The following is a 26,474-nucleotide window of genomic DNA, read 5'->3' on the forward strand; positions in this document are numbered from 1 at the left end:
AAAGACTAGGACTACAGCCCAGAACTCCTGACTGCCTTTTCCAGGAATACTTCTGCTCCCTCAGCCTTCCTCAAAGTGACTGTCAGTTTAATTTTATAAGATGGTGGGGCTTGTGGTAAGGACTCTGAAGAGAAAATGTCAAAAGAATAGACCAAATGATGGAAACAGGAGATTATCAAGCCTCAGCATTCTCTCCGACTTTCCCTAGCCCTTTTGCCACCTCCATAGCCTGCCTGTCTTCCTACTCCCTGGAACGTAAGGCTGCCCTGGGGACAGCCTCCCAGGGTTGGCTCTGGAGCTCCTGCTCGTCCTCCTCTGTAGCCACTTCTCTGGGGCATCTGTCCGCACACGTCTTCAGCTCCCATGACACACAGACATGCCCGCATCTCGAGCTCTAGCCCTCGACTTCACCTTCACATTTGTCTTTCTATAGGATATTTCCATATGTAAATATGCCTCGCTCAGCCAGAAATCAAAATTGGAATTCATCTTCCCTATGCAAAGCTACAGCCTTTTCCTACCCCCTGTTTCTTTCAGTGCTTCCATAGTCCACCAATCCTCCCGACTCAAAACTTCCATGTCACCAGAGGCTGGGGGAGAAGGAAATGGGGTTGGGGGGTGGTTAGTGTTTAATGGGTATACAGTGCCAGTTTGGGATGATGACAAAGTTCTTGAGAAGGATGGTGGTGATGGTTACACAACAATGTGACCATAATTAATGGCATTGGACTGTACATTTGTAATGGGTGAAAATGGTAAATTCTATGTTATGTCTATTTCACCACAATTAAAAAAAACAAAAACAAAAACCCAAACCCAAAACTCATGTCATCCTTGACTTGTGGCTACCTTGCTGTCTTCTCCCCAGCTTACTTTGCCACCAAGTAATTCTGATTTTTCACCTAGTGGAGATTCCTCAAACTTTCCCATACTCCAGCACCAAGAGGGATTTGTTAAGAGTTATCAATTCCCCAGTCCTACTCGGCTCTTTGGTGTAGGGGTGGAGCATGGAATCCACATTTTAAACTTCCCAACAAACCTGATGTGGGTGGACTGCAGACTGCACTTGGAGAAATAAATACTGCCTCTCAGTGTCTTTTGGCTTTGTCCCTTCCTCTTCCTTCTACTACCCCTATCCCTGCCCCAGCTGGCCCTCATCACCTCACACCTGGATTACAGCAACAGCTGGCCCATCACTAGCCTTTCCCTATTCCAGCCTCTCCAGCTGCCAGGACCCATCTTCTACAAATATCTTTTGCATCACATCACTTCCCTGCTCAGAAGCCTACCATGGCTCCCTGAGACCTCTTAGATTCTATCTAAAGTCACTTGGCTGGGAGCCAGCCAAGTGAGCCTCCCACCCTCCCGCTTACCTTCTTCTCTGTTCACTGCCACCCCTCCCGTGCTCATTAGTCATTTATTTTCCTTGTGTTAGTCCCTCTGCTAGTTTGGGGTGGTCTTTCTTCTATTTCCCCCTTCCCACCATGAGCCCTGGAACACTTCTGGTTACGTTGGAGGAATTATGAAAACTGTTCAGATTCTCTATCCTGCTTCTCAGTGCATTAATCTTGCCTCCCCCCAATGTGGGCTTTGCCATTCACCAGCTGTATGACTTTGGGCAAGTTGCTTAACCTCTCTGTGCCGTAGTGTTTTCATGTTCTCATGTGTAGAATGGTGATCTCAATAGGGCATACCTCATATGTCTGTGGACAGGATTAAGAGTCAACAGATGTAAAAAGTCTTATGACGGTTTCTAGCGTAAAGTAAGTGCCATGTAAGTGTTAGCTATTATTAGTAATTAGTATGATCACCTCCTCTTTCAGCCAGCTCATCTCTGGAAACCATGTCTGCTTGGAATACCTAACTGATCGAGTTCTCTGTTAAACCTTGCCTGATCTTGTGGAGGCGGTTAAGTATTAAGTGTTTGGGTTTCAACAAGCTCCTGTACATGAGATAACCTGAGGAACTGGGCCGTCTACAAAGCTGTAATTATGTCCATTAATTTCTAACCAACTAGGAGGAGAGGTGCTGAGAGTTGAAAGCAAGATTTTCCAGCATAAATAGGATTGATGATGTGGATGATGTGAGGGCAACTTTGCAATAATTTTATCATTTTTTTTTTTAAGACGGAGTTTCGCTCTTGTTGCCCAGGTTGGAGTGCAATGGTGTGATCTTGACTCACTGCAACCTCCGCCTCCTGGGTTCAAGCAATTCTCCTGCCTCAGCCTCCCGAGTAGCTGGGATTACAGGCATGCGCCACCACACTCAGCTAATTTTGTATTTTTAGTAGAGATAGGGTTTCACCATGTTGGCCAGGCTGGTCTCGAACTCCTGACCTCAGGTGATCTGCCCGCCTTGGCCTCCCAAAGTGCTGGGATTGCAGGCGTGAGCCACTGCACCCAGCCAACTTCACAATACCTTAAAGGACAGTGGATCATGCACCTTTTTTCCTATGGTCTTTCTGGAGTCCTTCTGCTGATACTCCAGGTCCCAGAGGCCCTGCCCCTGGCTTCCTTGTCGGAGCCCTCCTGGAACACCCTCCTCTGTGGCCATCCCCAGCTTGAAAGCCTCACACTTTGTGTCCCAAGCAGTCCTTGTCTGGAAATAACCCATCACCCACATTTCTGTTCTAGTCTACTTTTTCTTTAAATTGACAGACACAACTAAAATTGTATGCATTTGTGATGTTTTGAAATATATACACATTGTGGAATGGCTCAATCTAGCTAATTAATATATGCATTGTTGTTTTAGCTTTCAAATCCATGTCTTTGATTTTGTAGTGAATATAATTAATTCCTTTAAGGCCCACTGAATTCACAGCCAGTGTTTGTAATTATGTGTCCTGCCGCCCCCCCCCCGGCCCCGCCCACCCGAGTCTCTCTTTCTCTCTCAATGAATACCAAAAGTTCAAGTACTATAGAGTTGGGGGAGGTTTGAGAATATTTTTGACATAAAAAAAGGGCCCTTATTGTCACTAAGGTTGGGAACCACTGCCCCATGGGACATGTGGGAGCCATGGGAGTAGCACTAAGTTCTCTGGCTCTCAGTTTTCTCGTCTGTCAAATGGAGGTAAATCATAACTGCCTCTTTTTCTAAGGGCAGGAAACAGAATGTTTTGTACTCGGAAGCGGGGCCAGGGAGCAGTGCTCTTGTGATCCTTGCTGCTATGCTGGGAAGCCTCCATGAGGATGAGATGAGAGAATAGATGGGAGGGCACATGCAGAGGTGGCAAAAGCAGGCAGGGGATGCATACTCCTTCAAGCCTCATTATTATTTTCCTCGTTCTGGGTCCAGCTGGACCAGCTGAGCCCAGAAGCCTAAAACCCATGGAAGTCTTTCCAGGAGCAACGTGTTCTTTTGCCTTCCTCCACCCTTAGTCACTTTTCTGTGGAGAAACAACAACAGAAAGCAGCTCCTGTATGTGACTAAGAAACATCTACAAACTTCCTCTTATCTAGCCTAGTAACTGCTGTGGCCTCAGAAGTTGCAGTGTTTGTCTCTGTTTAGTCAGCGTTGCCTAGGAAACAAAGTTGTTCTCTCTTTACCACTATGTGACTGTGGGGCCAGTTTTTTCCCCTTTCTTGTAGAGAAAGGCTTGATGACCAGAGAGGTTTGGGGCGTTGTTGGGCTATTTTCTAGGTTTCCTTTTTTCATCTGCTTTTTCTCATTCAGCTGCAAGTCTGGCATGGGAAGTCTACAGAAGATGAACCAAATAGCCACAAAGTCTCTGAGCTAATTTTGAAAGGTGGGGATTTGGGAGTAAGTGGGGACTGGGAGAGCTGGTCAGGGTGAGGAATGGCTGCCAGGGGGCTTTGAATGCACTCGTTTGAAGTTTGTATCTGTACCAGCAGCTGTGGAATCTGCATGCCATGAACCAGTTGGCAGGTATAGACAATGAACCTGGCATTATGAATAGCAAGGTTGGGAGCAGGTGGGGAAATTGGGATTTGAGAGGCCAGCAAGCAGGAGTTTGCAATGTTCTGAAGGGTTTTGGTGATTAGAAAAGAACAGGTCAGCTGGGTGCAGTGGCGCATGCCTATAATCCCTGCACTCTGGAGGGCCAAGGAGGCAGGTTGCTTGAGTCCAGGAGCTCGAGACCAGCCTGGGCAACATGGCGAAACCTCCATCTCTACTAAAAATACAAAAAAATATATATATTCAGGAGTGGTGGTGCACACCTGTAGCCCCAGCTACTCAGGAGGCTGAGGTGAGGATCATCTGAGCCCAGGGAGTTGAGACTGCAGTGAGCTTTGATGGCCCCACTGCATTCCAGCCTGGGCAACAAGAGTGAGACCCTGTCTCAAAAAAAAAAACCAAAAAAAAAAACCCAAAATGTCAACATGTATGACCTTTACAGAGGAAGAAGCATGTCATTTTGATTACATTTAGGCAGTGGTTGATGTAAGGGGCGGGGGGCAAGATATCTTGGTCACCCTGAGGTTTGTGGCTCAGGAAAATCAAGGAGTTCTGTTTCCCCAATTTCAAGTGGGAAAAGGATAGGTATATATGCTACCAGAAGCTGAGATGGAATGGAGTCACTTGAAGAGAGGTGATCGTTTCCCTTGGGAACATAGTGGGCTTAGAACACAGCTCAGGGTCCAGAGGAAGTTCAGGTTAGGGCGTGGTAAAGGAGACACTAAGCACTCATCAACAACCAATCAGAGAAATGCTAGGTCTCTGGATGCTGGGGACATGGAGCTGGGAAAGGGTGATGGGTGATAATGAACCCCAAAGAGAGGTGGAGGAAGGAATCTGGAGCCAGGAGCCTTAGACTTGGCCCTACCCACGTGGTTGGTGGGTTTGGTGAGAGAACTTTCAGCAGTGTCCCTGAGAACTTTCAGCAGGGACTGAGGATATCTTTCCTTGGCTGGAAGTAAGGGGAAGAGCAAAGGAAAGGGGGGTGGTTTTGCTACCTCATACATTCTCCCTCCTTCTCTTACTAGAGCCTTCTTAGCTCCTTTGCCAAGTCAAGTGTCACATGTGGATTGGTATTAAGGAGAATGCATTAAGTGAGCCCAGTGATGTTTTCAGAAGACAGAAGAGGCCCACGCCTGTTGATTTGGTTCCGCTCTTCTCGCTCCCTCCTATGTATACCCTGCCTGTTTCTTTTGGGCCTTCCTCGGGGTATCTTTCCTCCCAAATCACCCCCTCAAGCTACAGTTGTGTGTTATGAGTCACCTTGCCACTCACTCCGAAGCTCTCATATGAAAGCGGAGCAGGAGAGGGAGGAAGGATCTGGGCTTGAGTCCTAATTCCCGTAATAGCCATGTGACTTTGGGCAAGTCACTTAAACTCGCTGAGTCTCAGTTTCTTTATCCAGACAGTGAGGGCAAACAGCATGTCCTTCATATGAGTATTGTGCAGATGACACGAGATCACGGCTGCAGCATAGGCCTGGCACTGACAGGGTGCTCAAGGGATATTCAGGGGGTCAGCAAAACAGCCCCTACTGGGTGAGGGGCCTCTCCCACCCAGTCCATTTATACTCAGTCAGACACCAAGTTTATTTTTAGAAAAACAGAGCAAAGTTTATTGAAATTTCAAGCTACATTTGGAAAATCAAAATCCAAATCCTGGAACCATACATCAGGATAAGGTGTCAAAAAGTGGAAAGTGTTCACTCTCACAAAACCCGCTACAGACAAGCTTTCTGGGCACACCTCCCAGGCTCCATTGGATCAAAGCCATCCCCTTGTTCATCCCTCATCCACAGTAGGACACCATCCTTCTGTTCACTTGAAAGTTTTCCACAATAATTACAAAACAAAACAAAAAACGTTTTCAAATGACACTGTGAAGCCCAAACTGATCTTCTCTCAACCCCATTCTATGTAGTCAGCACCAGTGAATGGTGGGTTTGGCATTCAAAACAGGACTTCACGTTTCAGTGGACAGCTGGGGAAAGGGTTGCAGCAGCAAGGCATCCGTGGCCGCATTCAGAGGCTGGCCCCCCTCCTTGCCTTTACTCTCGAGTCTTACTTAACCTAAAAGACAAACTGGGTCAACTTGGTAAATGAACACAGTCAAAGACTTAGCCATAAGAGGTAAGGGACCAGTCAATACTCCCAAGGCTGGTTAGGCCCTTCAACATGTAGGTGGATGTGTATATGTATACATCGCTACACTAAGATACAGATCTAGCCCTATGGGTATATATACGCATTTATGGCTATATAGAAAAACTATGCCAATACTAACCAAACAGAACTTTGTAAGCGGTCATCCCAAAGCTGTAATCCCACACTGGGCTGTGCACAAAGCCATGCATTATACCATATTAACCAACAGAAGGCTGACTTGGCTCAATCTCTCCCATCTGTGTCCCCTGCCTTCACGAAACAGAGGAGAAGAGAGAGGTTGCCTCTGCTTAAAACACAAGTGGCTTCTTCATAGGAACAGTCGTTGTCAGGTGAAGCTGTTGAAGATGTCCATGGAGATGAGAAACAGACCCCTTAAACTTTCTGGAGCAAACTGGTGTCACACCTCAAACTACCCTTCTCCTTTGCCAGTTGCAGCTAAGTTGCCCAGGCCCTGGGAGCCCCCAGGGCGCAGTAGCATTAGAGGCTCACTGGCTTGGTGTTACTAGGCCCCATGCAACTCAGCCTCCAGAGACCTGCTCTTGTCAGGGGTCTGTCGCTGGAGTGGACCCAGGTGGCCATGTCCTTAGGACATCTCTTGGCACCAGCTGTGCTAGGTGTAAAGTTCTCCTCGTGAGATGATGCTTGGGGAGCCAAAAACAAACTGGAAAGAACTAGGTAAAACAAGTTTAGTGGCTCTGCCCACCCTGAGGACAGAGCCACTTACACCGCAGAACCACCAGGGGCCTCGGGCACTTGTGGGGATTCGGGAGCTGGCTCTTCAGGGCTCAGACAGGACTGGAACTTCTCCAGCTGCTCTGGGCTTGCCAGGGTCTTCAACAGGGTGTTCTCACGCTCTAGCTGGGAGTTCTTCTCCACCAGCTCTCGGATCTGCTCCTTCAGGATCTCCACCTCCTCTCTCACAGCATACATCAGATGATTCTTCACCAGATCCTGCCAATGAGGGAATCATAACAAAGCCATTCCTTAGCCATCGTGGCCCCTCTGCAGCACCTTTGCTCTGTCATTGGTGTGCCTGTGCTGTCCTTAATGCCAGGGCCCTCCAGCCTTCCCTCAGTGAACTGGTCTGGCAAGTCCAATTCCTCGTTCACCTTTCTCTGAAGCACTTAAACCCTCATTCAGGAGAGCTACATGATTTGGCTTATGCTGGAGTTGAGAGCCCAGCTTTGAACTAGATAGGTTCTCCCCTGCAAGTTTCTAATGACTTTCAAAGCTGGCTGCTGAGGGGCCTTTGGGGTGACACTTCTGCTGTTTGCCAGTGGTTTGCTATGTCCCCCTTTTTACATAAGCCCCTACTGCTGCCGATCCAGATCTGGGGGAAGGGTAGACCTGCAATGCATCCCATACTGTTTGTCTGCTGTACAAATCTTAACCAAGAGAATAAAATTGGCTATTTTAGAGTCTCCTCCCCTCCATATGACCCAGCACATTGAATTGCAGCTGTCCTGCAGCCGGCCAGTTAGCACACAGGACATTGGCCTTGGGGAAAGGTACAGAACTGCCGCATCCTCTCTGAATTTGATGACTGCACTGGGGGCAGGGAAGGTGTCCTTAAGCTCCAGGGCACAATTAAGTGGCTCCCAACCGCTGAAGCCCTAACCCTCTGCAGCCATTGTGGCTGCTCCTTGGAGTATGACCTCTACCTGGTAAGGAGAGGGACAGGGGTGGGGTGCTTCGCTTCCTGTTTCCACCCAACTCCTGACCCCAGTCCAGGCTCTGCAGAGGCACTGCAGTGCTGTTGCATCCAATGAGCTCAGCCCCTTGCCAGCTGCACGATGCACACAAATGCAAGAGTCTGAGCTCCCTGCCCAACAACAGGCCCAGGAGAGAGTCAGAGCCTGCGGCAAAGACCTGAGATGGAGGAGGGAGGAAGAAAGGAGGGAGCCCAGGAAGGGAAGACTGGAAATGCCCTAAAAGGTGCCACTCTAATCAGACTCCACCTCCAGTGCGGATAGGAGGCAGGCTGTCGGCTTCCTCAGGGTTTTGGCTAAGGGCTTTTTCACCCATTCCCTCAATCCTGCCCAGAGTTACATAAGCAGCAGCTAAGTCAGGGGATGAGAATGACGCAGTGATGCCACTCACCATGGCCTGTTCGATCTTGTTGTCTATGGCCACCACGCTGGCTCCGGAGGCACTGCCAAGACAAAAAGCAAAGCGACCCATTACCCACTCGGTTCTACTCTTGAGTACATGGCAGTTGTGGCCAAAGTCCTCCATCTGCCTCGGCTCTTCCTCTCTCTCTCCTTCTCGCCTCCCTGGCCCAGAGTTCCGGACAGTTTGTCCCCAGATCCTTCCTTGGCCCCTGCAGGAAGCTGCATCTCCTCATCCAGGCCGGCTCAGCGCTGCTGCCGCCGCCCCGAGTTCCAACCGATCGGAGCTGCTTGCGAGTCCTGGGGCGCGCAGGCCACCGTGGCCTGCTCGGGCAATATGCAAACAATGGGGCTGTGCGACCCGGGGAGTCCCCCACAGCCGGCCTACAAGGTCCCAGGCAAACCTACCCGGCTCTGAAGCTAGCTAGGAATTCCTTCTCGGCTGGTAAGCTTCCGGCCTTCTCCCAAGCGGCGCACGGCGCTCGGCCAGCCCCCTGCCCAGCCCTGTCTGGTCCTGCCCGCCGCCCCTCTGCCTCCGGCTGCCTCTGCGGCTGCAGCAGCTGGTTTTCACGGCGCAGCGGCCGCAGGGACGCTTCGATGACGGATCCCAGAGCGGCGGTGACCCCCCCCTTCCTGCGTCCCCTCCCCCCCGCCCCTTCCCAGGATGCTGCACCGCGGGGAACAGGGACCGGCGGCACACAGCTCGCTCAGAGACCGGGCTCCTAGCCCAGCTCCGGCCGGCGCCCCGGCTCGGGAGGCGCCGGAGCTGGGGCCAGCGGTTACCTGTTGTCCAGCTTAACGGAAACCACATCCCCTCCAAGCAGAGAAGAGAAGAAGGAGATGGAGAAATTGTGCAGCTGGTAGACCGCCACCTCCATGGGGGTCTGATACATTTCGGTGTTCATGGCTCGGGCTGCTAGGAAGCTCTGGCCGGGTTTCGTGCGGGGCTGGGCGGCTGGGCGGCTGGGTGGCTGCTGGCAGGCTGCGCTGGGCTGGGCTCTGCGCTGGAGTCCGGCCCTGAGGCTAGGAGCGGGGCGAAGGCTGCAGAACGAACCCAAAGCCAAGCAGGCGCTCCAGCTGGAGTTGAAGGGAAGTGACTCGAGGGGTGTCACCTCGTATGTCACAAACTCCACGGCCGCCAGTCCAACCCAGACTCGGAGATATTTTGGCTCCTGCTTCTTTATATAGGAGGAGCCGGCTGCGTCACATGGCGTCAGGGGCCATGCAAATGAGTCCTGTACCGGGCTTTGTGGCCCAGTTAAACCACATCCCCTCCCTGAACCTTAGGCTGGGACTGTAAACAGTTCAGCACTTTCTTGTACCAACTGGCATCTCCAAAGAAGGCTCTGGAGATCGATAAAAACCAAACTGGAGCTGATTTCTAGAGAAATAAGAAATACAAATGCCCTAACAAGAGGCAGAGGGCATTCAGTAAAGAACAGCGCTAGTTTGAAAAGCTCTTCTTCAGGTGGCAGCCAGCATGCCCCCATGGCTTTGCATGCTCTCCCATGTCATACTCCCTGGACACGCGCCCTCACCATCACGGCCTCACCCTCTTCCCAGTCACTGCCCTCTCAGTCTCTCCCCTGCACACATACTTTGTCACCTGCACATTCACTCTCTAATCAACTCAGCTTTCCCCTCACCAGCCAGCTGGCCTGCCGACCTGCCCTGAACCCCAGCACTCATCCACTTGCCCCTTCCTCTGAATGTTCAGGTGTGGGAGTACTTGTCTGTGGACCGGCACATGTACAGATCTGTGACATGCATGTAATGCATGCACAGGTCCATGCTAATCTACAGATGCATATGTATGGAGGAGAGGGTGTCCGGGAGCTGAGGTGAGTGGGTGAACATGTATGGGAGAGCAGCTAGGTGGGTGACAGAGGAGGTGAGGAGGAGACAGGGTATTGGAGTGAGCACTGGAGTGACCACAAGATGCCAGCCCTTTTCTCTTTAGTCTCCACATTCTACTCTTTGAAGAAAATACATTCAACATTATCCAGGATCCCGTGTCTCTATTTTTTAAAAACACAACTTTGTTACTTTTCTTTAAAACAGCGAATGACAATAACACTCCAAACCAAAGGTATACATTTATATAAACGATCCCAGGAAAACACCTGCCCTGTGATGGGCCCAGCCATGCACAGCATTAGAGGTACTTCAGGAAAAACAGACTCCAAACCATAAACAAGATGAGGTGATTGTTCCATAATAAAAGTTACACGTTTCCATTAAAATATATCTTATTTATATTCAGCCTCAAGCTGAGGGAAAAAAAATAAAGGCACCAGAGACTTGAGGTCCTTTTCTTCTGCTCCTTCCTAAGTGAGGCCACCTGGTGGACAAAAGCAGAATTTCCACCAGAAGGAGCAAGAGGGGCAGGGACAGGTGATGCAACCGGGAATATTATTTACACCAACTCAGGACCAAAGGAGAACATTGGGTTCCACCACATATACAACAGTTTGGATGAAGTTAAGGCCAGTACCCATGAATCAGTGCTCCACAGGCTGTGGTCCAAAGAAAGATCCTAACGCAATCATGCTATTGGAAAAGTACTGGGGCCTCTTATCAGCAAAGAAGGTAATTATTGTTTGCTTCAGGACATTTATCTTAACCAGGTGCCTGGCACTAACACCCTGGCCAAGGCCCCAGCCAAATGCAGTCTGAAGGCCTTGATTTCCTCCCGGCTTCCAGGGCAGTTATGCCACTGAACAGCCAACATTTTTGGCTATGGTGTGGTGCTCTATTGGTGGATTCCAGTGGTGATAATATGTGTACAAGAGCCATTATATTGCAAAGTACTGACCAATAGAACTAAGTAAACCTGCTGCACTAGCCCGGGATGGTGTTTTTCTTCATCTCACTTTAGGTGGGAGACAATAATGATCTCAGGACATTCTGTTAACTTTAAGACACAACCTCTCTGAACACGGTGTTTGCACTAAGACATGTGTAGTAGACAGAACAAAGTGCAGGCTATACTTATGGGTCATCAAGAACATTCACTAAAAAAAAAAACCTCTTAAATCAGGAGCTTAACTGGTATCAGAATTCCCTGATATATTAATATTAATTTGCCCTCTGCACCACATAGAGTTTTCTTGGTTCAGAAAGTCTCCGAGCTGACCTTTCATTGGCTTGTTAATTTTTCCTCAACTATTGCTTTCCCCTCCCCCGAAGATTCCAAGGAAGATGATGAGAAGAAAAGGGGACAGAGAAATAAGCTGGGCTGGCAGGGGAAAAACACCACCAGGAAAACAGGGCACAGGACAGAAGTAAAAACAGCTCCTTCAAGAGGGACTCCCTTATGTGGAGACAGAGGCAGAGAAATCCAGGTGGTATGGGAAGGGAAGGCAAAAGGGTTAAGGTTCCCAGCAAAGCTGCATTTGAATTGATCATTAATTTGTCTACGGCCATACCACCCTGAACACACCTGATCTCGTCTGAGTTGTTCATTAGTTATACTTCAATTATAAAAGCAAATTGAGTCTGAGACTCACTGACAATAATAGTTACTATTAATAGAGCATCAGCTATGGGCAGACACTGTGCTGGCTGCACCACCAACCCCAAGGTTTAGGCACTGTCACTATCATTTTACAGATGAAGAAACCAAGGGTCTGAGAGGCTACCTTGCCCAAGGCGGCAAAGGTAATAAATTACAGAGCTAGAACTGCAGCCCAGGGTCTTCCTGACCCAGAGATCAAATCTGTTCCTACTGCACTGATCAGTGGGGCAGGGAATAGGTTTGTTGAATGGTTAGAGGCTTGAATGAGTGAGTTGAGGAAGTTGGTAGGGGGTTTGGAGGTGCCAGAGAGTGGTAAGGAAGAAGAAAGGGTGAGAAGCAGCAGCCCTACTATTAGAGAGGTCCAGAGACTGCCTTTGAGTTCTGCGAGCCTTGGCTTTTCTGACACGTGAGGCAGAGGAGAGCTGCAATGGGTGACTGGAACAATATCCAACTGTCCAAATGAGCTTTATGAGACGGCCATGCTCAACCACATCATTCCAAAAGGCAGCCAAGCAATCCTCAAAGAAAGCTATCTGTTTGGGAAATAGGAGACATTAATCTAACAGGGTGGCTTCCAGAATGGAACGTGTAGGAGAGTGTACAATATTCCAAATCAAGTATGGAGTCTTGGCAGCACAATCACAATGCAGTCAAACTTTGAGTTCCTGGAGCCCCACTCACCGGCAACTCTTAATTAACTCCTTTTTCCCCCTATTCCAGCTTTTAGGAAAATGAGGTCAATAAGAAAACAAGTTCGTATCAAAGATTTAGTTAAAAAAAAAAAAAAAGACTTGGAAAGGAGGTCCCAGGTTCAGCCCAGACTCAGACAAGCTCTCATCCTCTCTACATCTCTGGTTCTGCTGAGTGAGATGTGATCACCCTGAGACCTTATGATCCTCCATTAGGAAAGAATGAATGGATCCCAGGGTCCACTGGCTCCCTAAGGGAAGAATATGGACTTAAATGTCTCTGTAGAAAGATTTTCTGGCCAGGCGCAGCGGCTCACGCCTGTAATCTCAGCACTTCAGGAGGCTGCGGTGGGCAGATCACCTGAGGTCAGGAGTTCGAGACCAGCCTGGCCAACATGGTGAAACCCAGTTTCTATTAAAAATACAAAAAATTAGCCGGGCATGGTGGCGCATGCCTGTAATCCCAGCTACTCGGGAGGCTGAGGCAGAAGAATCACTTGAACCCGCGAGGCGGAGGTTGCAGTGAGCCGAGATCGTGGCATTGCACTCCAGCTTGGGCAACAAGAGCGAAACTCTGTCTAAAGAAAAAAAAGAAAAGAAAAGAAAAAAGATTTTCCAACAACAAGGGCAGGGGAGATAAGGGTGGGTAGGAAGGGTGGGGGTGGGGGAAGGAGGAGGAACCCAAAGAGTTTTCTGCTTAACCCTCAGCACACCAGAAAATTTCTCCACCCAGAATAGCTATGCCAAACCTTGCAGTGAGTGGAAGTTTGTGCTGTACCTATCCATGATCTGATCCAATATTGAGACTCTCAGGGTCCTTGTGTCCCGTGGAAGTGGGCCCCAAACAGGAAACAGTGGCCTAGGCATTCAATGGCCCAGCTACCCCAACATTCATAAATGTTGCCAAATTCTCTTTCTGACATCCCACAACTCACAATGTAGGCTGGACCCAGAGCCAACACGGCAACAGCACCTCACTGAGGAGCCAGGCCCTTTGCTGGCTCTCAGCTGTAGTCTTAAAGGGACATAGTAACAAAACAGACATGGCTGACCCTACCTTTCTCAGGGGCGACCTTCTAGATGGAGGGTGGCGTAATGAGGACAGGGCCAATTCCCTTCATTTCAGGAGGCTTTGGAAACCAGCATATTCCCTTTGAGCTGAAAGAAGTGCCTCAGCATTTCCCATTCATCTTTTCCCCTTCAAAAGCCAGACTGGACTCTCTAGGACAAGAGCCCTTCCTACGTCAGGTTCCCATGGGACAGTAGAACAGAGACTGGGCAAAGTCTGGGCAGCATAACCCCGGGCAGGATCTCAGAGCCCTGATGGCGTTGGACAGCAGATTCAGGGCGGGTGCGGTAGGTTGGGGGTGGTGATGAGGGGGAACATCTCACTTCCCTTTTTGTTACACTTGAAGCACTGTGTACCACACAGCCAGAAGGAAACTATTTATAGGTAAGTCTTCCTTATTTTCTACAGGGAATGTTCCACCCAAAGGTTCGGCAATGTTGCCAGCAAAACACAGGGTCCTGTGTCAGGAGAAGCGGAAAAAGACATGATGCGAGAGGTGCGGGAGAAGCCACAAAGCAAACACTGGGTTAGGAGCTGGAAAAGGAAATACAAAAAGGATATTGAGCACTAGAGCGTTAACACAGTGTTAATGGGATGGTTGAAAAACATCCCTCCCCACTTACTCCTCCACTACGGGCCCCCTCCATCTGAAGCACTGTCTAGTTCTAATTACTTACTTGTCCCTTTTTCTGAAGAGGCTGGAGGAATAAGGAGGCTGAAATGCCATGGTTTAATTTGTCCTTGCTTCTCGCTTATCTTCTCTCTTCCCTTCTGGTTCCACTCCAGTGTGGGAGACTATAGACAGGAAGGCCACTGCCACTTACATAGTTACTTTGGTTTCATGGAAAATCCCCAAAGTCCAGAAGGAGGGAAGCAAGAAGGAAAGACAGAGAAAGAGAAAGTGCCTTGTTCTCTGTGGATCATGTGAACTGCCCTGCATGGCCAGGGCCCAGAGCTCCGAATTTCAGGGGCAGGAAAATGGGGAGGAGAATGCAGATGCAGATGCAGAAGGCGATGATGAGTGGGAGGGAGCCCAAGGAGAATCTTGGTGGAGAGATGGACACTGTCTTGGAAAAGCAGCTCTAGCAATTGATTTGGGGCAAACTCTGGCACAGAATGATGGCAGGAGCAATGAATTGTGCCTTTCAGCTTCCTCCTGTCCAAGGTCCCATGTGAGCATCACAAACAATCTCTGAGTGACACAAGGGATGACGGGCGCAACCAAACCTTGTTTTAACAAGGCATTCTACCCCTCCTGCCCTCACTCAGAGAAGTAAAAAACTGCTCTTGTCAAATCACCTTCATCACCCTAACTTTGGTGGCTCACCATGCTGGGGGGTGGTTTGTTCTGCCATGTCAGCAGGACTGGAAGTATTTATTGGCGACTTATCCAGGAATGCAGTTTAGCTCAGTGGATCTTAAATTTCATGAACCTTGTGTCAATATTTATGCTTGTCTCCCTTCCCCTTATGCCTTCCAGCTGGGAAAATTTACCTCCATAATTTTTCCAAGCCCTCCTCTTATTTTCCACCCTCCCTATTGTCCATCTACAAGCAGGAAATAGATATACCTGAAAAAGGCGGTTGGTAAAACTAACCTTGGTAAATGGAGTCACTGTCCTCCTTTCCCCTGCCCATGCTAGTTGCCATTATCATTTAATTCAATTCAAATCAGTTCAATTCAAAGTTGTATGCTTATTCAAAGCACAAGGCACATTTCAAGGAAATTAAAAAAAGTAAATTGGCAGTACAAATCCAAAATTGTGCTTCCTTCCAGAATATTCTAGGTCTGTGGCCAATTCAGAAGTCTCCCTACTGGTTAGACCTTAGTGAAATGTTTGCTTCAGGAAAAAGCCTCGGGCTTGGGGGTGCTTGGGTTGGGGGGTGGCCTGGGGTTGGGAAGGACCATGCCACTACCATCTGGGGCATCATTTCATGGGGCAGAATGAGGCATGCTTTTCTTCTCCCCACCCTGCCCCTCAACTGGTGCCCACCTAGATAGGATAATGCAGCAGCACGAAACTTAGGGTTTCTGTGGGATCTACCACTCCTTTAACATTGTGGCTGATAGTGCCAGGAAAGGTCTCTCACCCTGATTCCCTTCCTTAACTGCAGGGCTTTGTAAAGCAAGGGAACAAGGCACAGGTATTTGCTTTCTGAGTTGCTAGTCCCTTTCTTCCAAGAAGGTGGTCTTTGTTTAGCATGGGCTCACCTCTCCGTGCCAACTTCTCGATCTTTGTCCTTTAGCCAGCTCCTCTCAGCCTTATACTTATCCCACCTCTTTCAGAGGCAGGTGCTAAGGTTCCTTGCCCTCTCCTACAGACCAACAAGCATCTTCAGGTAGGCAAACAGGCTCCCTCGTCACAGCCCACCCTTTGGCAATCCCAGTGTCCTGCAGCCTTCCCAGGGGCTGAGAAAGAAAGCAGCAAGACTATGCCACTCTCCACATTTATGTGTCTGCACCAGCCCTCCACCAGTCTATCCAGGCCAGCGGGACACTGGCAAGGCCTCTCTCCATCCACTCTGCTCTGTGGAACAGTTCCAAGAGCCGAAATTCCAAGCCATTTTCTCTGGCAGTTGCCAGGGTTACTTTGAGTAGCATGTGAAGGACTTGGGGGCTATTGGCAATGCTTGGAAGACAGCAACCAGGAGGATCTTGTTGGGGATGGGGGTGCAGCAGACGAGGGGCTTGTGAAGAGGGCAGGAGCACCTGCCTCCATTGTGGGCCTCGCTATAGAATGGGTGATCTTTGAAGTGGCAGAGGTTCTCTAGGGAACAAAAGGATGGTTAATAATGCTGGGCTCTTTAGTTCCTTGGCTGTGATGGGTAAGCACTGTGAGCCTCCTAGGGCCCTCGCTTACCTCACAGCAGAGCTATTCACCATGAGCTCATTTGAGGTAGCTCCTTGATTCTCAGTTGTGGGACTCTATCACATGTGAAGAGGGGCTCTGCAGATTGCAAAGGGCCTCTGGCTCTCCAGTCATCACCAACCGCTGCCTCCCACCTTCCAGGATGGATAGAAGGCAGCCTAGCTGGGGTGGGGGCAGTGGCAGGAGGAGGCAGGGGGCACACTATTGCCAGAACAGAAAGAAAAGGAGAAACAGGGCCAGCTTCTCCCTGGGGAGGGCCCCCCAACCATGGGAACAGCACCAGGGATCTCAAAGGAGTGTTGGAAGGGCTTAAGGAAGGTCTCCTGGCCTGGTTTGAGAATCACTGACAAGGAATACACACAACTTCTCGGAAGAAAGAGTAGCATGGAAGCACGTGCATTTGTGCAAACACCCTCTCCAGCCTTTCACACAGTCTAATAATTCACAGATAGCCAGGCAGAGTGGGGCATCCGCCCCCCTTCCCCTATGTTGTCACCTTCCCCATGACCCCAAAGGGACAGTAAGGCCACAAGACATAGCAAGATAGCAATGCAGGACACTCTAGCCCATGCCAGAATGTCAAAAGTCATGGCCTCTGCGCTCTCTGACATCCAGAGCTAGCTGTGTGCTGTGCAAGGGTGACAGGTGACAGGGTCTTAGGGGAAGCTTGAGGTGGTATTCAGATGGACACGGGGGAACCAATTTGAAGCCTCATACTGCATACTGGGAACGGGAAGTCCTGGCACTGCCAGAAGCACAGTTTTCAAAGATATCAATCATGCATTATAATGGGCTCTTTTAAATGAAGGAGAAATAAAAACAAGTACCATTTGTGCACAATCAATCATATGGACGCCTAAGAAATGATTCCCACAGGCTCCTCTTGAGGACAGTTCTAACTAGAGCCAGTCCTGGCATAGAGGCCCTCTGTGACTTGAGAAGTGTGATCTGAAGGGTGGTGAGAAAAAAAAAATCCCTCTCAGTCAGAGCTGTTTTCCAGACCACTACTGTGGTCCTTACAAATGCCACCATGAGAATCATGCCTTTGGATTCCAATGATCTCTCCTGGAGTTCTTCATTTATACTTTGAGGAATGAGAACGCCTTCTTTTCCAATGCAAAAAGCCCTGGGAAGGTGCCATATTCAACACTATCAGTTCAAATACTTCAGTATGAACTAAATTATAGTATTACTTTCAACAGAGTAGTCAGTGGCCAATCAGTGTCAGCAGACAATTGGACACACAGCAGGTAAACCTTGATGGTGGGCTGCAGTGGGCCTAAGGGAGATTGTGGAAAATGCAGGCGTCCTGGGCTGCAGCCCTAGCATGTCTAGTGGAATAGGCGTGGGGCGGGAGAAGGGTATTTCTCAGGTGTTTTGGACGCAGCTCTTTTGACACCAGTCCATGGAATTGCTTTTAGGAACTGCTGGCCTAAAGGTAAGAGCCAAGAAAGGGTCTATCTGAAGAGCCCCTATGGTGCCAGGGGCACTGAGACCCATTTCGTGTGACACATTCGGACGAGGCTTGGCATATTCTAGGCCTGCTGTCTGTTCTGCCCTTTCTTTCCCTCTCACTCCTGAAGGTTTGACCAGAATGTGAGTGAGATCTACTATGAGAGAGATGATCCTGAACATGCTGTGATTTATATTCAAATCTTTGGCAATTTTTGCCTCTCTGTTAAGAGGAACGGATGCCTTTTAAGATACTTCACAGCGGTCAGTGGAAACTCTCAGCCTGGCAGGTCAGGGACATGCGGCGGGGGAGGGGTGGGCATCGTTGTGGGAAAGAGAGAACCCAGCATAGAGAAGGGGAAGGGACTGGTTTTTCTCTAACAGCACAGTTTGGTCAATGAACCGGCCCAACCTCCCTTCTACAGGAACCAGCTCTTCTCCAGCCTTGTGGCTGTCACTGCCCGGTCAAACCTGGGTCAATTCCCAGGTGAGCTGAAGGGGTGTGACTCATTCCCCCCTCAAAAACCTGCTGGGGCTGACTATAAAGACTTGCCAGGATCTCTGCAAACATGCCTGTCCCCACCCTGATCCAAGCCTGGAACTCACCCCTGCCTACCATCCTCACCCCATTCCATTGCTTGTGAGCCCCTCCCTGGCAACAAGGCCATCTCCCCTGCTCGCTGACTCCCCTCTCCAAGGGGGAGTAGGAGGGGAATTTACTGTTGTCTGTGGTATGCATCCAGACTGTCTTTTGGCCTTATTTTATTTTATTTTATTTTTATGTTTAATTTACATTGTTTGCTAGGTTTGGGCTTAAATAAACAAAAGCTATGCTTCTCCCCAAGGCCTAGACTTCCTGGTTGCCTGCCAGCAACAGAGTGACCCTTTTAACCTCTTCTCTTGCTCCTTGAGACATTCAGTGTTGGGGGTGGGGTTGAAATAAAAAGATATTTAGGGTCAAAAACCTGGAAATTCTTAGTGCCAGCCTAAAATAACATCCCCGGCCCTTGCCGGCATTATGAATGTTAAGCACTGAAGCCACCTTACCAAGGACAGGGTTCTTTTAAAGCCCACAGCAAGATTGCAAAAATAAAGCACATAAATGGAAAATTCTAAGTATTGGCATTGATTTCTTTTCTTTCTTTCATCTTCTTTTTTTTAATCTACTCTACAGATGTCTTCGTACCACCAAGCAAAGACAGAAGTGCCCAGGTCTCTGTGGGTGGGGCCTCTGTGGCACGAGCAACCTTAAAGACCTATAGACACCAGAGCATGGTGGGCCTGACCAAGAAGGCTTCCTGCCAAAGCTCATACACCTTAAAAAATAAAAGGAACACTAGCCCCTATGTCCTAGGGATAGAGCTCTAACAGCAAACTAACGAATCCTGGTCAACAGTTCTGACATCCTGTTATTTGCTAAAACTAATAATACCATGGAGTTTGTTGACAGAGTTGCAGAAGAGCTAAAGTAAATATGGAAACCGAGGAACAGCCAAGTATAGACAGTTACTAGCTCAGCAGTTGAGGGGACGAGAGTTTCACAGATACTCCTTGGACATCTTGGGGCACCGGGGACTCAGCACGATTGGGAGATAACCCAGAAGGCATTTGTCATGTCACAGGGTGATTTATCTCCAACAATAGGCTGCTGCAATGATGGGTTTGGCCTACAGAGCTGATACTGAGCTCTCAGACAGACAGCAATGATATGAAAAATTGAGAGGGACTCCCTTGATGCATTTGTGAAGGGAGTTATGCCCCAAGAAACATCACTTTAGTTCCCATTTTAAACGAACGTGTTCAAGTGGGAAGAAAATATGTCAGAAGGCCAGAGTTCTTTTCCACCTTGGCCACTAGCCAGCTGGCGACTTCATGGAAGACCTCTAAACTCTCTATGCTGCTAGATCCGCATCCCTGAAATGGGAGTAATGCCACACAAGGTATGTATGTTTTATGGATACCCTAATGTCTGGAAACATAAACAAATCATTTTATTTATTTTTTTTTTTTACAGATTAAAGATGTCTTTGATGACTTTATAAATATTTACCTATGGACTTTATGGACACCCTGTAGGTAGCATAGCTGAGCTCTTTGGAGAGCGAAAAAAAGGGCTACGTGAATGTGATAAACTCTATGATAAATAGAAATTCTGGTTCCCAAACACCGCTGGCAAAATGGCTCCCCAAGTGAACAGCCCTTTTCACACTGTTTCAAATTCGTCTTTCTAACCTTCTGTCCAGTTTCAATGTTTGTTCTCATGGTTTCACATATACTGCTATGGGGAGGGGGTAGTTTGAGAAGTTGTTGTTAAAATGGAGTCTATATTTAAATTATTCTCCTGAAGGTCCTAGCAATGTTTCCCTGTATGTAGAACTTCTAATTTGCACAACGTTTTGACCCGAAGAACCACTTTGATAGTACAAACAATCAGTAATCAGTAAGACCTCTATTCTTTCTAGCACGACTGAAGGCACAGTCAGACAGGACCACGACTGAAAATGGGCCGTGCAAGGTCTCAAGTGAGCACTGATTGGCTTTCTAGACTAGAATATAAACCTTGTGAGGGCAGGGGCTTATCTTATTTACTACTGTACACCTAAGGCTTGGACCGGTGCCTGGCACACAGTACAAATGCAGTAAATACATGCTTAGTAAGAAAAAAAAAAAAGGTTATGTATGTGTTAGGACTTTGCTAATGGCCTCGTGGAGAACTATAGGCACATTCATGAATTAGTCTTCTGTTAGTTAACACTTTAATTTGGGGACAATCATTGTCTGAGAGAAACTGTGCAGTTACAAACACAAAAGACCTGTGAAAATCAAACATACTTGGGAAACCCAAACATAGTTTAATTGAGTAAGTGGCCGCTAATGACCTGGAAGCAAGGCTCAACCACTTAAACAAAAGGGATAATTCACCCATGTGTGTGCTCCTGGTTCTCCACTAATGCTAGGACTTTGGTCAGTTTCCATCTTTAGCTAAAGGCGCTGGGTCAGTTGGGAATAGGTCACCCACAGTGAGCAGTAGAGGGTGATAAAGCCCAGGAGCAGGGTGGCCAAGTCTCAGCTGGCACCAATATCAAAGAGGGATTTAGGGCTAGCAGGCCTGACGCTCTGAGTGAGTGGCAGCCATACAGCTGGAATGATGGGAGTGGGGGGAGGACAAAAACCATCTGGACTAAAAATACTCACTAAGATAAAGGAAATTCTCACCATTAATGTCACCCTTGGGTTTGAAGTCTTGAGGTGCCCTGTTAAAATGGAAAATCTTTCTCAGAAGGGGAATTGTTTAGTTTTTCTCAGGGAAGGGATGTGATGACCTGCCTCAGCTTGGTCAGAATAGTGGGAGGGGCTTCTGGGAGAAGCAACCCAGGCTGGCTAAGTATAGACTGGTGGGGTGCTGCCTAGGGTGGGGCCTCACAATGGGTCCTGGTTATCTGGTGGCCTTGGGATTTCAGGGGACAGGCAAATGTGGCCAAATATTGAAGACTCGCTGGCAAGAAACCAAACTGCCTCTGAGTGGGCAGCTTTAAGAGGAGTAGAGTTTAGGGCAAAGGAGATTGTTTTCTCCTTCTGTTCTTGGTAAATGAAAGCAAGCTGTTATGAAGATGTCGTGAGGAGCAGCAAGGCTGCCTTGGGCATATTGGGGATGTTAATCTTCAGTGCTCCCTGCCTGGGAGACCCCGTTTGCTTGCTCATCAAAACATCCTCCCTGGGTGCATCCTCCCCCAGCTCTACTGCCTCATTTATACGGTGGCATAGCTGAGAAATTAACCCCCAGAAGAGTCTGTGGCTGCTGGGGTTGATGGATTCTCCTTCCCTGGGGTAATTTCTTTTTACCAAGAGCCTGCTGCGAACCCAAAGGAATGAGTCTAGTGGGAGAAATTCCAGGCAGAAGGGCAGGACGCTGGAGGAGCTTTCTTTGACCATTTTCTGCTACTTTCTGCTGGCAGTGGCCTTCTCTGCCTGTGAACTAGGCAGCCCTGGCAGCAGAAACAATACTGACACTAGAGCTGGCGAGGGAAGCCCTTGCCCCTCATCACCACTCCTTTTTGCCCTTGTAAAATTCTGGAAAAACCTCAGCCCTGGAGCTCCCTCTAGTTTGACCAGGTGATAGCCAACTCCCTGACACCAGGCAGAGCTGGGCCGACAGAGGGAGGCAGGGGAGTGGGGCTGGGCATCCCCCTCTCCACCCCCGGGGCCCTGTTGTGAGGTGTTGACAGCTGGGAGAGGACCTGAAACCAGTTAGCCTGGGGCTCCCAGCCAGCAGTGTATTTTCATCTTGTTTTGACTGGGACCGTCCTCCCCTGTGTAAACACATCCATGTCAGGGGGAAGAAAATGTAGAACAGCTTAAAATAAGTGGGCGGAATGCCTCCCACTCATGAATCACCAGTGCAGGGAATGCCCCGCAGGTGGGCCTTGCTTTAAGCAAACCTGACATTATGAAAATTTTAACTTAACAAGAGGGCAGGGATGGACAGCTGTTAGGACTTGACCTACCTCTGGGAGATCTCAAAGCCTCATTGGGTCCAAATAATATCAGCAGCTCCCATGTACTGATTGCTTAGTGGGCACTGCGCTAAAGACATTAGATAACGTTAATTTTTTGAATCTTGTCAACGCTGTTAGGAGTTGGGTATTACCTTATCATTAGACCCATTTTGTGGATGAGGAAACTGAGGCTCAGAGAGGTTAAATAACTTGCCTGGGATTACACAGCAAGCAAATGGCAGAGATCAGATGAAACTCCCTGGTGTGTGATTTTAAAGCACTGGGCTGCCTCTAGCTGGAGTTGTGCTTTGTTTTGAGGAGGGCTCCAGGCCCAGCTGCACTCCAGGCAGCAACTGGAACCTGCACTAGTGTTCCTTCCCACTGAACTCCCTTCATACAGCTGCAGAGGAATTTGAAAAGGGTCCTTATCAGGGTCATGGTGGGGAAGGCCTTTGGTGGGGCCTGTTTCTTTCAATTGACTAAAGGATTCCCAAGGCAATTAATTCCCTGGAAGAGTAAGCCCCCCCGGAATGCCAGGATGGGATGGGTCATCTCCATTTCAATTCAGGGACTAGCAGATTGTTTATGGGCAGCTGCTTGACCATTCTCAGGACAGGCCACTCAGTAACTGCAAATAAGTACAAACTACCAGACACCAGGCTGGGGAGGGGACAAAAGACCAGTATAATCCAGTATAAGCAAAAACCAAATGTAAACACATATTTTGAAACAAAATGTCACCAATCACGGTCTGTGCAGGGCTGGCCCCCAGGGTAAACTGTGAAGTAGGAGTCTGTCTTCAGAACCTTCCTGCTTCCTTTTCGGGTACCTTCCTCCTGCCTGTTCCTTTATGCCACCTGTGCCCTCCTGCTGCCTGGAGTTTCATGGGGCCCATAGCTTCAGGGGTGCAGTAGGGGACCTGCCTTCCTTAGCAATGCCCGCTTTAAGAGAGACTCCCAGTCTCCTTCACAAAAATCAAATGTAAATGGCCTTCGGGCCAGCCCTAAAAGACAAATCGAAGAAATTTGTTTGTGTAAATTGTAGGTAATGGCTCAACAGGTTTTTCTCAGTCAGATCACAGGGGCTTTAATCCAAAGATTTCAGTCAATGCTATAACTTTAGTCATACGTGGGGGATGGTAGGGAAAGAACAAGCTGGAGAGATGCAGCATTGAGAGAAAGATTGCTTATCAGTGATGTTCAAATCTTGCCAAGTTGGCCACAATTGACTGTGACTCTAGGTAAGGCTGGCTGCATGAATGTACAGGGATGAATACTACGCTCTTATGCTTGTGCCGTATTCTTCCAGAGCACGGTGGAAAGAGCACTGGAATAGTAGTCAGGAAACTTGGGTTCTGGCCTGAGTTTGCCCCTGACTACCAGAACAAACAACCTGGAAAAGTTCCAGAACCATTCTGGGCCCATTTCCCCTAATTGTAAAATGAGAGGGTTGAGGCTGCAAAATTATATTTATTTAGGTGCTTTTTTGATGAATGATACCTCTATTTAGACTGGGAGCTATATCCAAAGTTTCCTACAACAGTGTCTGGCATATAGTATGTGCTCAACAAATGGATTATGTTGAGTGAAATGAATGAATGGATGGCAAGAATGACTTCTAAGGTGGTTGCTCAGTTCTGACAGTCTCAGTCTCGATCTCCTCAGATGCAGCTATTTGCAACCATGCTTCTTCAGTCAAGAGGCGTTGGCCAAGAGCTGGGTGAGGTCTTCAGGCCCTCGTCCTCAGGACCAGATCATGTCTGCCCCCATGGGGTACAGGGGCAGCCTGCGCTGGGGATAAGCAGATCTGAGACAAAGGCAGCAAGCAAGAGCTTCCAAGAGGTGCGGAAGGCTTGCAGGATGCTAGATGGGGGTGGGGGGAGGGAGAGGGCTGTAGGAAGGGCAGGGTAGGTCAGGAGGAGGAGCCATGGGAGTAACTTTTACATTTTCTGTAAAACGGGAAACCTAGATAACAGAGACCTGATGGGTGTCTGGGCTGAGGTAGGGAAAAGTGCCGAGTCGCATGGTGACTCAAGGTCAGGAGCTGGAATGGGGCCCAGAGCTCTCAAGCCTCTGCTCACCCGCTTGGGACTGGCCCTTGGCTCCAGGCCAGCTCCCTGAATAGTTCCCCCAACCCCCACCCTTCCCCTCCAGGATTTCAGCTTCATAGGCCAATCTGCTTCCTTGTTCAGCCACTGCCTCCACTGCCCTCCCCTCCCCTCCCTCTGCCAAGGCTACATGGAAGCCCTCCCCCAAACTCCCTCCAAGGACTCAGCACTGGGGCCCAGTGCAGTCACCCATTAGAGCTCTCCAAGGCCAGGCCAGCTTCTGGGCAGACTGGCCCCCCTTCCCAGTGTTGCCCACATTCACACTCTGACAGAACTCCTCCCCTCCTTATGCAAAAGGAAGGAGGCTTTGCCAGCGCTACCTTCCTCCCCTTCAAACACACCCCCGCCCTACTCCAGCCTCCTCCATCACCCAGGCCTCTAGGGACACTCCCAGACATTATTCTCAGGTGCCAAGATGTTCTCCCTTTCCTTCCCTACTCTTTCCTTCAGCAGCACCCTTTCACATTATAACAGGGGCTGCAGTTCCAATCCGAACGAGTGAATCTTCAGGGGTGAAACTTTAAGTATTAGTGAGTTGGGAGAGAGAGAGAGATTTATGGGGCAGAATTCCTTCCCAGTATTCTTGACATAACACTATGGAGATAGTTACCTACTCTAGATACTCATTAGGCCAATTCTGGACTTTGCTGCCCTGGGAGTCGGAAGGCTAAATTTCTGGTCCCATCTCTGCCATTAAAATAGTCCATGTAGGCTGAGTGGGGTGGCTCACACCTGTAATCTCAGAACTTTGGGAAGCCAAGGGGGGAGGATCGCTTGAGGCCAGGAGTTCGAGACCAGCCTGGGCAACATGACGAAACGCCGTCTGTACAAAAGAATTTTTAAAAATTAGCCAGGCATGGTGGTGCACACCTGTAGTCTCAGCTACTCCCGGCCGAGGTGGGAGGACTCCTCGAGCCCAGGAAGTCGAGGCTGCAGTGAGCTGTGATTGCACCACTGCACTCCAGCCTGGGTTGATAGAGTGAGACCCTGTCTCAAAAAAAAAAAAAAAAAAAATTATCTGTGTAACCCTGAGCAAATCACTGCATCTCTCTGCATCTGAATTTCATCTGTCAAGTGGGGGTAATCACCCCTGCCCTACCCACCTTGGCAGGACTGTTATGAAAATTAGAGACAATGTGTGCATGTGTGCATGCACAAGTGCACAGGCATGCATAACATAGAGAGAGAGCATGCGCACTTTCTACATGGCAAGACCCTGGACAAATATTAGGGATTATTATCCCTATTCCCACCTCCACTGCAATGTGCTTGAAGTACTCATTCAGGTTACTTGGTAGAGCTCTCTTCACAAAAAAAAATGCCAGTGTACTTTAGGCCTGTCCCTTTCTTCTCTCCCAATTTCTGTCCCTCCCACAAGGCTTGGCCCTTAGCTACATTTGGCCTCCTGCACACCTCCACCCTGCTTTAAGAACATCTCCCACCCAACCCTCATCCCCCTCACCATCCATCCTGTCCCCTCAAGCCTTCCTCCACCAGCTGAGGACTTCTTGCCATGCTCTCTCCTTCTCTTGCTGCTGTGCCGAATGAACCCGTTTTCCCAGCCCTGACCTCGGGCCCTCTCCATCAAAGCTTTAAAGAGGAAGGGACTCTGGGGAGTAATGACTGAACTTGACAATTTTCTACAGAGACTGAGCACAATGTGGAACACCCAGCATGTGCTCCAAAAACACACCATTGTTTGGTTACTTGCGCTGGGGAAGATGTTTGGGGTGGAGTCTGCTTTGGGGCCCCTGAAATCTTGCCAGATAGACAACTGCCTGCCCCACCTCTAGGTTCGGCAGGCACTGCCCGTCTGCTCTTCCCACCCATTTTTCCCTTCACCTCTCAACCCGGAGAATGGGCTGGGCTATTTCATCTCTAGGACCTGCACATTAGAATGTGATTTCAGTCCTCCCTGGCCTAGTGCCACTGAGTTTCTCTGGTCTCACCACCTTTCCCCCAGGGATGAGAAGCTAAGGAGCAGTCTGGGGCATCCTCTAAATTTCCCAGCACAAACAATCAGCTCCCTCTGCAGGGCCACACCCAAGAGTCCTCTCACCTGAAGAAACCTGGGCTTCCCTTCC

The 26,474-nt window shown here is 49.0% G+C and overlaps 1 protein-coding gene across 5 annotated transcripts in view, besides 4 other annotated features; it reads right to left on the reverse strand.

The window, feature by feature from the left end:
- Positions 1 to 5,505: 5,505 nt before the first annotated feature.
- The window catches only part of TSC22D3 (TSC22 domain family member 3), a 62,768-nt gene continuing 41,799 nt past the window's right edge, over positions 5,506 to 26,474 (reverse strand). For 3 of the 5 annotated variants that reach the window (NM_001318470.1, NM_001318468.1, NM_198057.3), the window contains 2 exons: positions 8,184 to 8,235; positions 5,506 to 7,034 (listed from right to left, as the gene is read on the reverse strand). In NM_001318470.1, coding sequence (NP_001305399.1) covers positions 6,804 to 7,034; positions 8,184 to 8,235 — 283 coding nt within the window. In that variant the 3' untranslated portion in view covers positions 5,506 to 6,803. Of the gene's footprint in view, positions 7,035 to 8,183; positions 8,236 to 8,599; positions 8,794 to 8,974; positions 9,348 to 26,474 lie in introns of those variants that run through there. The other 2 variants (NM_004089.4, NM_001015881.2) reach the window with 2 other exon arrangements.
- Positions 8,967 to 9,046: an enhancer, noted in NCBI's record as "active region_29834". NCBI's record gives its function as "activates an Ori minimal core promoter by ATAC-STARR-seq in GM12878 lymphoblastoid cells {active_cell/tissue: GM12878}" and the evidence as "EXISTENCE:reporter gene assay evidence [ECO:0000049][PMID:35858748]".
- Positions 13,865 to 14,024: an enhancer, noted in NCBI's record as "active region_29835". NCBI's record gives its function as "activates an Ori minimal core promoter by ATAC-STARR-seq in GM12878 lymphoblastoid cells {active_cell/tissue: GM12878}" and the evidence as "EXISTENCE:reporter gene assay evidence [ECO:0000049][PMID:35858748]".
- Positions 17,666 to 18,167: an enhancer, noted in NCBI's record as "H3K4me1 hESC enhancer chrX:106968611-106969112 (GRCh37/hg19 assembly coordinates)". NCBI's record gives its function as "activates a minimal SCP1, AML or CMV promoter by ChIP-STARR-seq in naive H9 embryonic stem cells {active_cell/tissue: H9 hESC(naive)}" and the evidence as "EXISTENCE:reporter gene assay evidence [ECO:0000049][PMID:30033119]".
- Positions 24,151 to 24,760: an enhancer, noted in NCBI's record as "H3K27ac-H3K4me1 hESC enhancer chrX:106975096-106975705 (GRCh37/hg19 assembly coordinates)". NCBI's record gives its function as "activates a minimal SCP1, AML or CMV promoter by ChIP-STARR-seq in naive H9 embryonic stem cells {active_cell/tissue: H9 hESC(naive)}" and the evidence as "EXISTENCE:reporter gene assay evidence [ECO:0000049][PMID:30033119]".

Source organism: Homo sapiens, chromosome X, assembly GCF_000001405.40.
Source record: "Homo sapiens chromosome X, GRCh38.p14 Primary Assembly".
Lineage (NCBI taxonomy): Eukaryota > Metazoa > Chordata > Mammalia > Primates > Hominidae > Homo > Homo sapiens.